The 12,465-nt window shown below is 53.2% G+C and overlaps 1 protein-coding gene and 1 long non-coding RNA gene across 25 annotated transcripts in view; one reads left to right on the top strand and one right to left on the bottom strand.

Annotated features, from left to right (window-relative positions):
* DENND2B (DENN domain containing 2B) overlaps window positions 1-12,465 on the bottom strand; it is a 217,600-nt gene that overhangs the window by 17,348 nt on the left and 187,787 nt on the right. For 17 of the 24 annotated variants that reach the window (NR_164822.1, NR_164814.1, NR_164815.1 and 14 more), the window contains 7 exons: window positions 7,042-7,193; window positions 4,904-5,119; window positions 3,911-4,007; window positions 3,299-3,343; window positions 1,852-2,036; window positions 423-532; window positions 146-215 (listed from right to left, as the gene is read on the bottom strand). Coding sequence is in view for 15 of the 24 variants with exons in the window: in NM_005418.4 (NP_005409.3) it covers window positions 146-215; window positions 423-532; window positions 1,852-2,036; window positions 3,299-3,343; window positions 3,911-4,007; window positions 4,904-5,119; window positions 7,042-7,193 (875 nt within the window). In the remaining 9 variants the exon portion in view is untranslated. Of the gene's footprint in view, window positions 1-145; window positions 259-422; window positions 533-1,851; window positions 2,037-3,298; window positions 3,344-3,910; window positions 4,008-4,903; window positions 5,120-7,041; window positions 7,194-12,465 lie in introns of all 24 variants that reach the window. The other 7 variants (NR_164817.1, NR_164821.1, NR_164819.1 and 4 more) reach the window with 5 other exon arrangements.
* Window positions 7,485-8,833, top strand: LOC107984308 (uncharacterized). The gene is made up of 2 exons (XR_001748118.2): window positions 7,485-7,589; window positions 8,382-8,833. It is a non-coding gene; the product is annotated as an uncharacterized LOC107984308 (long non-coding RNA).

Genomic DNA, 12,465 nt, shown 5'->3' on the forward strand with positions numbered 1-12,465 from the left:
GTGGCCTCAGGAAGCATAACATAGGATTTCATACAAGCTAAAATTGCAGAAGGGCACACACACACACACACACACACACACACACACACACACACCCTGGCCTATCCCCTGCCTGCTGGCCTGAGGACCGAATGGCCTCACTCACCAGTAAGCGCCTGCAGTAGCCAAAGCGTCTGCTGCCATCTTCCCCAGTCAGCATGAAAGAAAAGGTCTCACTGGAACAAAGAGAGGTCTGGCATCAGGGAGGTGTGAGAGGACCTAGGAAACAGCCCCCAAGAATAGGGACCGTCATTTTCACGTGGGGTGAAGGGCCAGGTTGCTGTAGGAGAGGATGAGACTAGAGCAGGCCCCACTCAGGTGCCCACGCTATGGGGGTAAAGAAGGCTATGCTCCTTCCTCCCTCAGGCCAGGCCAGGCCTCACCTGCTATACTCTGACACAGGAAGCCAGTCCTTGGCATCAGGGAAGCAAAACTGGGGAATGGCTTTGAGCCTTTCCTCTGCCTCTCGCATCTGCTTGGTGGGTCGGTCCAGCTGCAGGGAAGAAGGAACCAGGAGATGACATGGAACCTGAGGGCGGGTGGTGGTGGCTGAGAAGCCCCTCCTCCCCTGAGGGCCCTAGATGCCACTGACTAGCGGGCATGATCTCAGCAACCCTTGTCCCACTCCGAATTCTTACAGAGCCCAGAGTCATCATTCATTCATTCAATAAATGCCAGCGGAGTGCTTTCTATATGGCATCTGACACGGTGCTATGCGCCAGGGCTCTTGGCTCTCAATGGAAAACAAAGGGGACAAGGTCCCCGACCTTACACATTCTCGTCAGCAGAGTGAGATGGTCAACCACAACATCTCAGAGCGGGGCTTAAAAAAAAAATAAGCAGGGTGGCCGGGCGCGGTGGTTCATGCCTGTTAATCCCAGCGCTTTGGGAGGCCGAGACTGGCGGATCACCTGAGGTTGGGAGTTCGAGACCAGCCTGACCAACATGGAGAAACCCCATCGCTACTAAAAATACAAAATTAGCCAGGAGTGGTGGCGCATGCCTGTAATCCCAGCTACTTGGGAGGCTGAGGCAGGAGAATCGCTTGAACCCAGGAGGCGGAGGTTGCAGTGAGCCGAGATAGCGCCATTGCACTCCAGCCTCTGTAACAAGAGCGAAACTCCGTCTCGAATAAAAAAATAAAATAATAAGCAGGGTTATGTACCAGAGCAAGCTGGGCAGGGGAGGGGCTCCATGCAGGTGTCTGGACAGACCTCCTGAAAGAGGTCCTACTTGAGCAGAGCCTGAGAAATGAGAAGGAGCCAGCAGCCACGTGAAGAGCTGGAGAAAGCACATTCCTGGCAGAGGCAATGGCAGAGAGAGAGGGGTTGAGTGTGAGAGGAAGAAGAGGGAGGCCAGGCTGGCTGGCGACAAGCAGGGAAGGCGGAGTGAGAGACAGGCTGGTGGGAGAAGTGCGGAGTGACAGCTAGTGGGTGCAGAGTTTCTCTTTGGGGTGATAAAAATGTTCTAAAATTGACTGTGGTGATGATTGCACAATTCTGTGAATACACCCAAACACTGAACTGTATACATTAAGTGGGTGAACTGTATGGTATTCAATTGTTCTGGATTTTATTATAAGCACATTGAGAGGTTCTTTCTTAGTCCTCATCCTTTGAACAAGCACTGGCCCAAACCCACCCCCGCTGCAGCCCTGTCTTCCCTCCTGGCTGAGAGGAGGCAGGTTCAGGGCTGTGGCAGCTCGGTGAGGACGTATGACGAACAAGATCTCTCTCCTTCCCCAGATAGGCCTGGCGGATAGAGGATGGAAGAGGGGGAATATGGGCAAGGTGGGGAGAGAGAAGGCCTCACCTTGGGAAACTGGTAGGAGACTTCGGGGAGGTAGGTGTTTCGCGATGGCTTCTTCTTGAGGGACACCACCACAAAGTACTCAAAAAGCTCCCGCTCCTGCCACTCCAGCAGCTCCAGCTCCAGCGTGCGATAGCTGGGGGCGCGCTTCAGCATCGACTGGATGTGGACCAGGCGCTGTGTGTGGGCTGGAGGCAGGTTGCACATCAGGGAATGGACCCTCACAGGCCTCATGTTAACTCCTCTACCCCTGGCTCAGGGCTCCATTGCTGTGGAGCACTTTTAAGTACGTGAGCCTAGTCTGATACCATCCCCAGCTCACAGTGCAGGAGGACCGGCAGGCACAAGGTGCTGACCCCTGCACAAAGACTCTGCCCTGACACAGGAAGCTGCGGGCCTGGTCCTCCTGGAGCCTCTGGAGACTGAGCTGGGGCAGGAGGACTGCCGAGGCCAGGCAAACCCAGGGATGTATCTTGGCACCCACTCTGTCCCTGTACCAAAAGGACTAGAATACACGAACATCCACGAAGGCTTCATCCTTGGGCCCCTAGCAGGACATGCTCCTACATCCAAAGTCCACTTGCCCATTTGCCTGGGGATGAGAGGATAATCATCCAGGAAGGCCTAGGCAGGGTTTCCCAGTAGAGAAAGCACAAAGATTTATCCAAGGACCCTGGAATGTGAAGGTTCCAGAACCTTTTCAAGCTCCTCTCTGGGGACAGGGGAGATGGGGGACTGCAGGGCCTCCAGAGAAACAGTTTCCTCAGTCTACGGCACATTTCTTGCCAGAAGAGGTCCTTGTAATCTTCTGTACCCCTCTCTGACCCTCCAGATCTACAATTTTTTTTTTGAGACAGAGTCTTGCTCTGTCGCCCAGGCTAGAGTGCAGTGGCATGATCTCAGCTCACTACAACCTCCGCCTCCCGGGTTCAAGTGATTCTCCTGCCTCAGCCTCCCAAGTAGCTGGTATTACACGCGCCCGCCACCGTGCCTGGCTAATTTTTGTATTATTTTAGTAGAGATGGGGTTTCACCATCTTAGCCAGGCTGGTCTCGAACTCCTGACCTCGTGATCTGCCCGCCTTGGCCTCCCAAAGTGCTGGGATTACAGGCATGAGCCACCGCGCCCGGCTGAGATCTACAACATTTACCAGGCAAATCTAGCACCCAACTCCCATGGACAATGGCTTGGGACAGTTTGGGCAGGTCACCACCCTTACATTTGGCAAAGGGAGACATCTGGATTTAACCTTGCAGGGCTGAGCTCACATGTCTATAAGGACAGACTTCCCTGTGGCTCCCTGCTCTATTGTTCTGGTATCTGGCCTGTCTGTCACCTCTCCACATCAGGCCGGTTAGGGACACTGGAACCACACATGCATCGGAAGGGAAGGCTGATTCCCTGCAGCCCTGCTGGGAGAGCTTCCGTACTCATGGGAGCTGTGCCTCACCTTTGAACCTGTCATCAGAGTCGCTCTCGCTCTCACTGTTTTCATCTGGAAAAGGAACAGCAGAGTACATACTTGCTGGACCTCACAGCCAATGTTTTTTGCTCCCCCACCACCCCAGCTTTTCTCACAGGGGATGGATCTCTACCTTCTCTGGGCTACTCTGGGCCCATGGTCAGGCATCTGCAGGCAGGGAGCTGAGTGGCCTGGGGCCAGGCTCCTTCAGAGCTCACACTGCGAATCCTATATTCAAACCCATGAGGGAAGCTGAGGGCCTGAGTTGGAGGCTGAGCCAGAAGAGGGGCCTACAGGCCTGGAAAAGATGGACCCTGCCTCCAGGAGGTCAAGATTTGAAATGGGAAACAGACCGCAATGCTCAGTGAGTCTGGCCTTTCCTTTTGCAGAAGCCGATTCCCACACCCACCTCCCTGCTCAGGGCCTCACAGCCCAAAGTCTGAAGGAACCCATCCCAGACCTTTCTTCCCTGTCTGCTCCTCCCTCCTACGTGGCCATTTCCTGGCAGGGCTCTACCCTCCACAGGTAAATTGATGCCTCTCCCGTTCCTAATGCCCAAGGGCCCCAAACAGCTGAACCAGCTCTGGCACCAAAGCCTACCTCTCAGTGATGCTGTTTCAATGCTGGACATAGACAACTTTTTTAATCTCTTCTTTCCTCTCTTGGCATTGTAGATGGAGTTAATTCTTTGGACAAGCTGGGTGAGAAAAGCAGGATGGGTGAGGTAACCTTAACACCAGCTGCCCTACTTCCAAGAAGGCTGAGTAGGAGCCCATCCCTGCCCTTAATGGTACAAGCTTTCTGCATTGCACCCGCTGGGTCCAGGACTGGTCTAACTGCAGAACCGACCTCAAGTGGTGACTCACCAGCCATGCATGGTAGCTCTCCATATACCTAGTCCCCCAGGAGTGGTCTCCTGCCCCAAGACAAGGACACTAAACTTAGCTCCCCAGAGGAAGGAACTGTGATCAAACTAGACAGGATGGTAGCTCCTGGGTCCCAAGAGTCATTGAACCAACTGAGACAAAGAGCCTCTGAGATGCAATAACAGGAACAAGGATTCTAGCCTTTCCCCTCTGGGCCATAACCTGGGGCCCCGACAGGAAGAAGCTAAATTCCCAATATACCCAAGCATTGTTTGCAGGTTAAAAATACCATCTGGCTAAATCCTGCTGCGTTGGGCTGGGGATTTGGGCCTGGCTGCCTATGTGTGAAAATCATTGCTGAAAATTCTTCAATGCTGAGAGTTATAGGAAGAACCCTTGTTTGAGTCCTAGGTCCTTGAAAGCCTGGAAATGCTTATGTGTGCGGATACCCCAAAATTCATACACCACACTTACTAATGGGGAACCTCGGCTAGACTTTCCTTCCTCTAACATCTGAGCACCAAGGTCAGTTAATGCATCTTTATTGATAAGAAAGGGGAATTAATCAGATGAAAAAGAGGCCAGTGCACGGACCCAGAATTTATTCAAAGGGAATCGAGGAAGCAGTCCAGATTAGGGAAGGAAGGAAGCCAGGAAAGAGAGAGAAAGGCTGGCTGCCTGCCCGCCCACCTGCCCGGCTCCAGTGGGCTGCCTCTGGGGAGGGTACCTTGGGAATGCGGCGGGCCCGGCGGCTGGACAGCAGCTCGCTGGTGGTGCTGAGGCTGTCTTCATTGAGGCTGGAGGGTGAGGACGGCAGACTCAGCTGAGCCAGCAGCAGCATGTCGTCATGGCTGTGCCTCTTGGGTAATCGTGGCAGCCGGTGGCTCTTCCTTTCTGACCAGTTCCCACTGCGCAGGGACTGGCTGTTGGGTTTCAGGGAAAGCTGGCGTGGGGGAGAGGACGTGCGAGAGGGGCTTGCCACAGAGGCCTTGGCCAGTGTCTGTCTGCTGGGATGGGGACACAGAGGCCAAGGGCCGGCATCCCTGGATCCCCGCCATCTTGCCCTGGAACTTCCATCCCTCTCTTAAGACTTTAGCTGCTAATCAGCCAGGTCAGGGATAGATTAGATACTTGCCTTCCCTAAAGGAAGCTTCACTACTGCCAGCAAAAAACGAAAGCAGAGGCTAAAAACACCTGTGCTCTCATCTGAGTGGAAAAAGAAGACTAAGTGGGAATTTTGCGGGGGTCCTCCTGAGCTATGGGACAAGAATTACTGGGCCTGGGTGATGGAACCAGTCTTCCGGACCTCTGCTCCCGAGCCAATCCTAAAAGGTTTCTGACAGCAGAGGCCATAACCTACTGGCCAGCCTGCTGGGCTGGGAGATCCTGCAGCCTGGCCCTCCTAACTGCTCCCATGGAGAACACAGGGGCTCTGGGCTCTGACCACCAAAGCTGGGCCAGGCAGGCCTCACACTGAATTGGATCCCATACCCACAAGGCCCTGGCTGCCCTCTCCCCAGCCCTGATCTACTCTCTGCCTCTCTCCATATGCGCTGACCTCTCATCCCAGGGCACCATCCTTGTCGCGGACCCTGTCAGGAGGCAAGTATCCCACAGACACCCAACCACTGTCTGGTTCTGGAATTGCCTCTCCTCACTCCTCAGCAAATCCTCCTTCCTCCACAGCCCCCAATTTCCTGTTCTCACCCAATCAATCTGGCAATGCAAACTCAGGGGAAGCCTGTTTGAAAAGAGTCCTAATTAGAGGGTAAATCTTTTTTTTTTTTTTTGAGACGGAGTCTCGCTGTGTCGCCCAGGTAGGAGTGCAGTGGAGCGATCTTGGCTTACTGCAACCTCCGTCTTCCGAGTTCAAGCAATTATCCTGCCTCAGCCTCCCAAGCAGCTGGGACTACAGGCGTGCGCCATCATGCCCAGCTAATGTTTGTATTTTTAGTAGAGATGAGGTTTCACTGGCCAGGCTGGTCTTGAACTCCTGACCTCAGATGATCTGCCCACCTTGGCCTCCCAAAGTGCTAGGATTACATGCGTGAGCCACCACTCCCAGCTATGGGGTAAATCTTTTATAAAAACAAACACCTTATTCCAAAGGCAGAAGAAATCATTTTTATATTATCATTTTATATTATCTGGCCAATGCTATATAATATCCAGGTCCTTCCATTTGCAAAGAGAATTAGAGTTACCTGGGGAGGTCAGAGAAGCCTCTCCACCTGCCTCCTGACATCCTGGACAAGGACAGAAGGAGCTGAAGTCCAAGAGCTTCCTTTGGCTTTTCACCTTTCCTGTCATTCTGCCTTCTCCCCATCCATTCCTTAAAGATTCATGCTTACTCTCTCCCACAGGACTGGCTCCAGGTGTCACAGACACCTGTCTGGCTCTCCAAATGTGGTTTGGGGACCTACACCTAGCCCCCTAATGCCAGTACTGAGATGACTTCTGGCAGAGTTGCAGAATGCCAAGACTCCCACTAGGGCCCTGTCTTCCTGTTTCCCACAGGGTGATAAATAATCAGAGAGGAGACTGCAAGGGCTCCTGGCTGAGTTTTGCAGCTCAGAGCTTGTGTAGGAAGGGAAAGAAGATAGGACAGGATGCCCCTCAGAGCAGGTGCCAATTGTCCACAGAGGTTTCAACATGGTGGACATCCTTGAGTGCACAGTCCTTTGCTGAGGAGACCTCCTTTATCAGACGAGATCGGGCACGTTCAGGGTGGTATGGCCGTAGACCCTTTATCAAGTACTAGTGAGGGTAAAAGCCTGAGTGGAAGCTGGGCCCAAGTCTTGGAAGAGCAGGCCCCCACTGTGGCCCTCACGCTAACCCTACAGGCCGATGTCAGGGCTGAGTTACCTGTGTGGGCGGGCTGTTGTACTTCCTGTCCTGAGGACTCCACATCCTGTGCAAAGAGTCCAAGGAGTTCTCAGACAGTTGCTGGGATTTTCGTCCTGCTCTTCGGCTCTTTAAGTCCACATCCTCATATGGATTCTCCTTGGGCAGATCTCCTGCAGAGGAGGAAGAGTTAGAGAAGGGGGAGAAGGGAAGAAGGAAACACACGAACTCACACACACACAAATAAACAAGCAGAATTCCTGTGAACCAAAGAGAATGGCTTCTGCCTGGCCCCTCAGCTCATGAGTCATGCAGCTGCCCGTCTGCAGTGGGGAGGCTACAAACAGATCCTGGCTCCAAGTCCAGAAGCAGACCCACCCCCCCACCCCCCCCAACCCCCCACCCCCAGCCCAGCTCAGCCTGGCCTCTGCTTTATAAATTCAGGGATTGCACAAGACTGGCTCAGCCACCCCTGCCTGTGCCCAGCCAGAGGACAAAGCCAGCAACAAGAGTCTTTCCTTGGCTCCCTTCCCTCTGCTGCAAACACCCCAGAGATAACACAGTTCAAGGTAGGAAGGGTTTTCAGGTCACATGGCTGTCCCTTCACCCAACTCTCAGGGGATCTCCCTGGGGACCTACTTTGGAGGGTGGGCATGGAGGAACTCACAGAACCGTAGGGAGCAGGGCTTCGCCAGGCCCCCTTCTCACCTACGATGCCGTTCAACAAGTCTTTTAGGGCAGGGTTTTGTGTTGTTCACTGAGGCAACCTCGGAACGGAACAGTGATTAGCAAGGAGGAAGTGTTCAGTAATGATCTGTTCGATGACTCTCCTACTGTAGTGTCTATTCCCTCTACCGCTGATCTCAGCAAAAAGAGAACCATCAACACTCCCCTTTTGGAACAAACTCTCCTGCTGTGACACAGGGGAGGTGTGAAAGGCTTGGAAGGAGTCTGGGCCAAAGGGTGGGGGTGAGGGGAGTTCTTGCTTCTCAGGACTAGTTCTAAAATCTCTGGCAGCGGGCATTGTATTGGCATTACCAGAAAATCTCAGAAAAGTCCAAAACAGAATCCCTGCCCTTGAAGATGTTGAGTGGCACTCCTTTCCACAAGCTGTATCTCCTGCCCCCACCCCTCCAACACACACATTTTCTAAAATAGAGTAACACCATGGGCCGGGTCAGTCCTAGCTCAATCCTGGTGGCAGAATCCGTGGGGTGAACAGGTCCCTGGGGAACTCAGAACACAGCCCTCTCTGCACCCCTTTCCCTATTTTCCTGCTGCAGAGCAGGACTCACTCCAGCACCTCTGCTCAGCAGCAGGATTGAGCCTGGGTGCCACTGAGTCCCACACTTGTTCTACAGATGTCTGAATGTGCCTTACGCCCCAGAGGAACTCAGACCCCACTCCTCAGGAAGCAGGCAGAAGAAGGAGCTGGAGGACGAGGAACAAAGGCTGCTGAGAGTGAAGCTTTCCTAGAGAGGACACGGGAGAAGAGCCAATCCCTATATGCTTGCAGATTCCTCCATTTCCAAAGTGGAGCTCCCTCCACATTGTGGCATCTACTTATGCAGAACCACAACGAATTTAGGAAATGCTCTAACAGAGTTAGGGTGTGGGTGTGAAGGAGGGATTTCAGTGACAGCTAAATAGACTGCAGTGGGAGCAATATAAATCTCTGTAAACTTATGAGTCAAAGATGGGTCACTGGGATTTGGGACTGGATTAAGTGATTCCCAACTCCAAGCAGAGTCCCCAGCAATGGAACAGACCTTTTCCTGTAACACAGTCATGCTATTAAAATGACTTGTCTCCATTCCAGAGCCCTGACTAAGCGGAGCTGGCCCAGCAGCCCTGTCGCAAGAAGCCAAATAGCAAACCCGGCACCCCCTGCATGTTTTCTCCAGCCTACCCCACTGTGGGGCACTTAGGGAGGTGTTGGGGATGGATTCTCTACTTCTTGATCCTTCCCCAACATATGCCCTGCAGGAGTGAGGAGGTGGGGGAACTAAGAAGGGAGAATGCCAGGACACAGTCTTCTGATCCCCTAAAACAGGACCAGAGCATCACTGTCCACATCACGGCAGGGAGAACATTTATGCCAAGCTCAACAAATCGAAACTGCCTTGGACTGCATGATCAGCCAGGGCCTTTATTGTCATCCCCAACCTATAGGAAGCCTTGTCCCAATCCCAGGGGTTTCTCCAAGCCACTGACATTTGGGGTTGAATAATTCTTGTTGTGGTAGACTGTCCTGTCCATTTTTAGGATGTTTAGTGGCAACCTTGGCTTCTATCCACCAGGAGACATTAGCATCTCCTTAGCTATAACAGCCAAAAATGTCTCCAGACACTGCCAGATGCTCTCTGGGACGGACAGAGGGAAGGAGGGAGAGAGAGGGAGGGAGGCAGGAATGGAGGGAGGGAAGAGTGAAGTTGTCCCCCAACTGAGAACCACTGCTTTAGATAGAGCTTTCTAAACTTCCAATGGCTTCTGAGTGTGACATGAGTCCCAAGACTAGCCCTCTTTTTTTTCCATCCTTCCCTCCTTCACCTCACTCCCTCCTTCCTTCCTTCTTTTCCCTACAGTAAGAGCTTTGAATATTGATACAAAATCCAAAGCTCCAAGAAAAAGACATAGGATACTGAGGCCCAGGGAAGTAATAGATGTACAAGCCTGGTGCACATCACTGACAACCCAGGGGAAAACAGCCAGCAACATCAGGTTCTCAAGATAGGTCCTGTCTCTGGAAACTCAATTTCAGGAAGGCCTGCTCCTCCCCAGCCCCTTGTGCCAGCCTCTCTTCTCCAGCAATGTTTAACATCCTGTCTAATGTAACAAAGCCACTAATCAGTTCTCCAGCAAATAGACGGCTGGCTGCAGCCCACACGCTGCCTCCCCAGCCTCAGCTTGGTCCCTTCACTGCCCTAACTCATCTCTCAGCTTCCTGGACCATTCCTGACTGCCCCGGAGGAGCTGTCTCAAATAGATTCTCCCAGTCATCTCTCCAGGTGGACAGGGGACCAGGGGATGGAGATGTACAGAGACAAGTGGACCCTGAGTCCTGGACCACTAAACTGAACCAGCTGAGAGCAAATAAGTATCAAAGGAATGGCTCAGAGTTGGAGGAGACGGTAGGCTGGGAAATGGTGTGCAGAACATCCTAGGGAGGACAGAGCTAAAGGAGCTAAGGCTGAATGGGAGATTCAGCAGGGGCATGAATGGGAGACAGGGAGCCTGGCAGACTGCAAATTTCTACCTGCATTCCTGCCCACACAGCTTTCTTGGGACAGTCCACATGACCCTTGGAGAGGGACGAAGAGGTGGACCCTCTTCCCTGAAGGCCTGGCCCTCAGCAAGCCCAGCTGGAGAAGCCAGAGGTCTCAACCTTTCCCAGCTTGGATGATGAAATAAGGGACAAAAGGCATCACCGAGAATTTCTGCTTTGCACTCTTCTAAAAGGGGATTATCAGAGCCCAAAGGTGTCACACAAATCCTCTTAAAGGAAGAATCCAGCCCCTCTGGGCCCTGCTCCCACTCCTCCCCACAACCTCCCACTCCTCCCTACAACCTCCCACTCCTCTCCACAACCTTTCACTCCTCCCCATAACTCCTTTGGTCTTAACCACACATACAGCACTCCCCCAGCCCCAACCTAACTGGAAAAACCAGTTAGGAAAGGGGTGTGTGTATACGCACAGGCACTGAGAATTTCTCCAAACACAGTCCTAAGCTTCCTGGACCACACCCATTACTAGGGTCCTGGGTCTGCAGCTTCCCTCCCCAACAACCTCCGTCCGGTTCCAACCAGCTGTTTCTCCTGGTTCTCAGCCTTTTTCCCTCTCTCACACAGGACAGAAAGGGCCAGGATAAGAGCCCAACTCCCTGGCAACAGATCAGACTGGGGCCTCTAAGGGGCTGGCTGTTGCCCACCCTCCAAGCCTTGACACCATTTCTCGACAGCCCCGGCACCTTCCCTGGGCTGCACCTCTTGGCTGTTTTGTTTCCCACTGCAACCTCCATCCCAGTGGGTGCCCTCTGCTCCTTACTGTTTCCCAGCCTGGGGGCAAATAAGGGAAGCAACCAGAGAGAGTGGAGGCTCAAAAGACTTTGCAGTCCAGGCTGACTGGCCCGGTCCCCGGCTTGCATCCCACTGAAGTTCCTGGAAACGCTCCCTCAGCCCAGGCTAGCTGATGGGAGTGGGAATCTGCAGGAATGCAGCTCAGGCGCCGAGGCCACTCCACATAATTCCTTAACAAGCTGCTTCCTTGGGTGCATTTTTAAGTGTCAGGCTCAGAATGCAAACATAAGGCCTGGTAGAATAGCAGCATCTTCCAGGGGCAGATGTGAGATGGGACAGGCGGGAAATAGCAGCCCTGGAAGCAGCAAGGCAGTAACTTTCTTTCCGAACTCCTTTTCTGCAAGTTAGCAAGGTAAACCTCAGTATGTTTGGGAGTACCCCACCCCAGCTCCTCAGGCATCATGCCTAGTGTAGGCAGGAGGCCAGCAAACCCTCCACAACCCCCATTCGAGTCCACTGTTCACAGACAGACATGTTTGTCTTGGGGCCAACTGGCCCTCCACCTATGACAGACAGGACTCCAGTCCAATCACCAGGACCCAAGATGGAGATGAGCACTAGGCTCTCTGCCTCCCAACAGCTCCATTCCTGCATGCCTGCAGGAGCCTGATCCAGCGGGGTCAGAGTCATCCTTCACCCCACAGAGCACAGGCTGGGCCAAGACCAGAGAGACGGCTCCCAGGAAGTCCGAGCCACTGATCAGTCCTAAGCAAGACGGGAAACTGCCATTCTGAGTTCAGCAATAAGACACCCCCTGAAGCCTTGTGGGGAGCTCCAAACTCTCGGGCCTGTCCCCAGGGAAGGAAAAGGAAACCCACCAGAATCTAACAGAAAGAGAGTATTTTCCTCTGTATTTCCCTCTGGCCTCCCTAGTCAGGTCCCAGAAATTCAGATTGGGCTGCTATGGGGACATAAAAAGGGAAAACACGCACAGGGCACTGTCCTAACTGCAGACTCCGGAAACCACCCCCACCACCCCACGAGGCCAAAGCAAAACCTAAACATCCGATGCAGTATATTCCCAAACTGGTGCCTGGGTCGCTCCCCTCCCTTTCTCCTGCATCCTCCCCCTCTCTTCTTTCCCTGTTCTCTAAGTGCTCCAAAGATCCAGAAGCCAGGTGAGCAGCTACCTCTACCTTCTGCCCACACAGCGCTGACCCCTAGCTGTACTCAGCCACCCAAGAGGCAGCCAAGGTGCTCCCATATTTTTTTTAACTCCTCATGCAACACCCAGAGTGGAAGAGAGTCCTCCCTAATGAGTGGGGAGGCAGCTCTGTTGCCCCACCCCCTCCCTACCTCCTGTTGCAGGGTACATTCTAGTTTGGCAGAAACTGCAATGTGTCAGTTTGCTGCCCAGGACCCTGGGA

The sequence above is a fragment of the Homo sapiens genome, chromosome 11 (assembly GCF_000001405.40).
Source record: "Homo sapiens chromosome 11, GRCh38.p14 Primary Assembly".
NCBI lineage: Eukaryota > Metazoa > Chordata > Mammalia > Primates > Hominidae > Homo > Homo sapiens.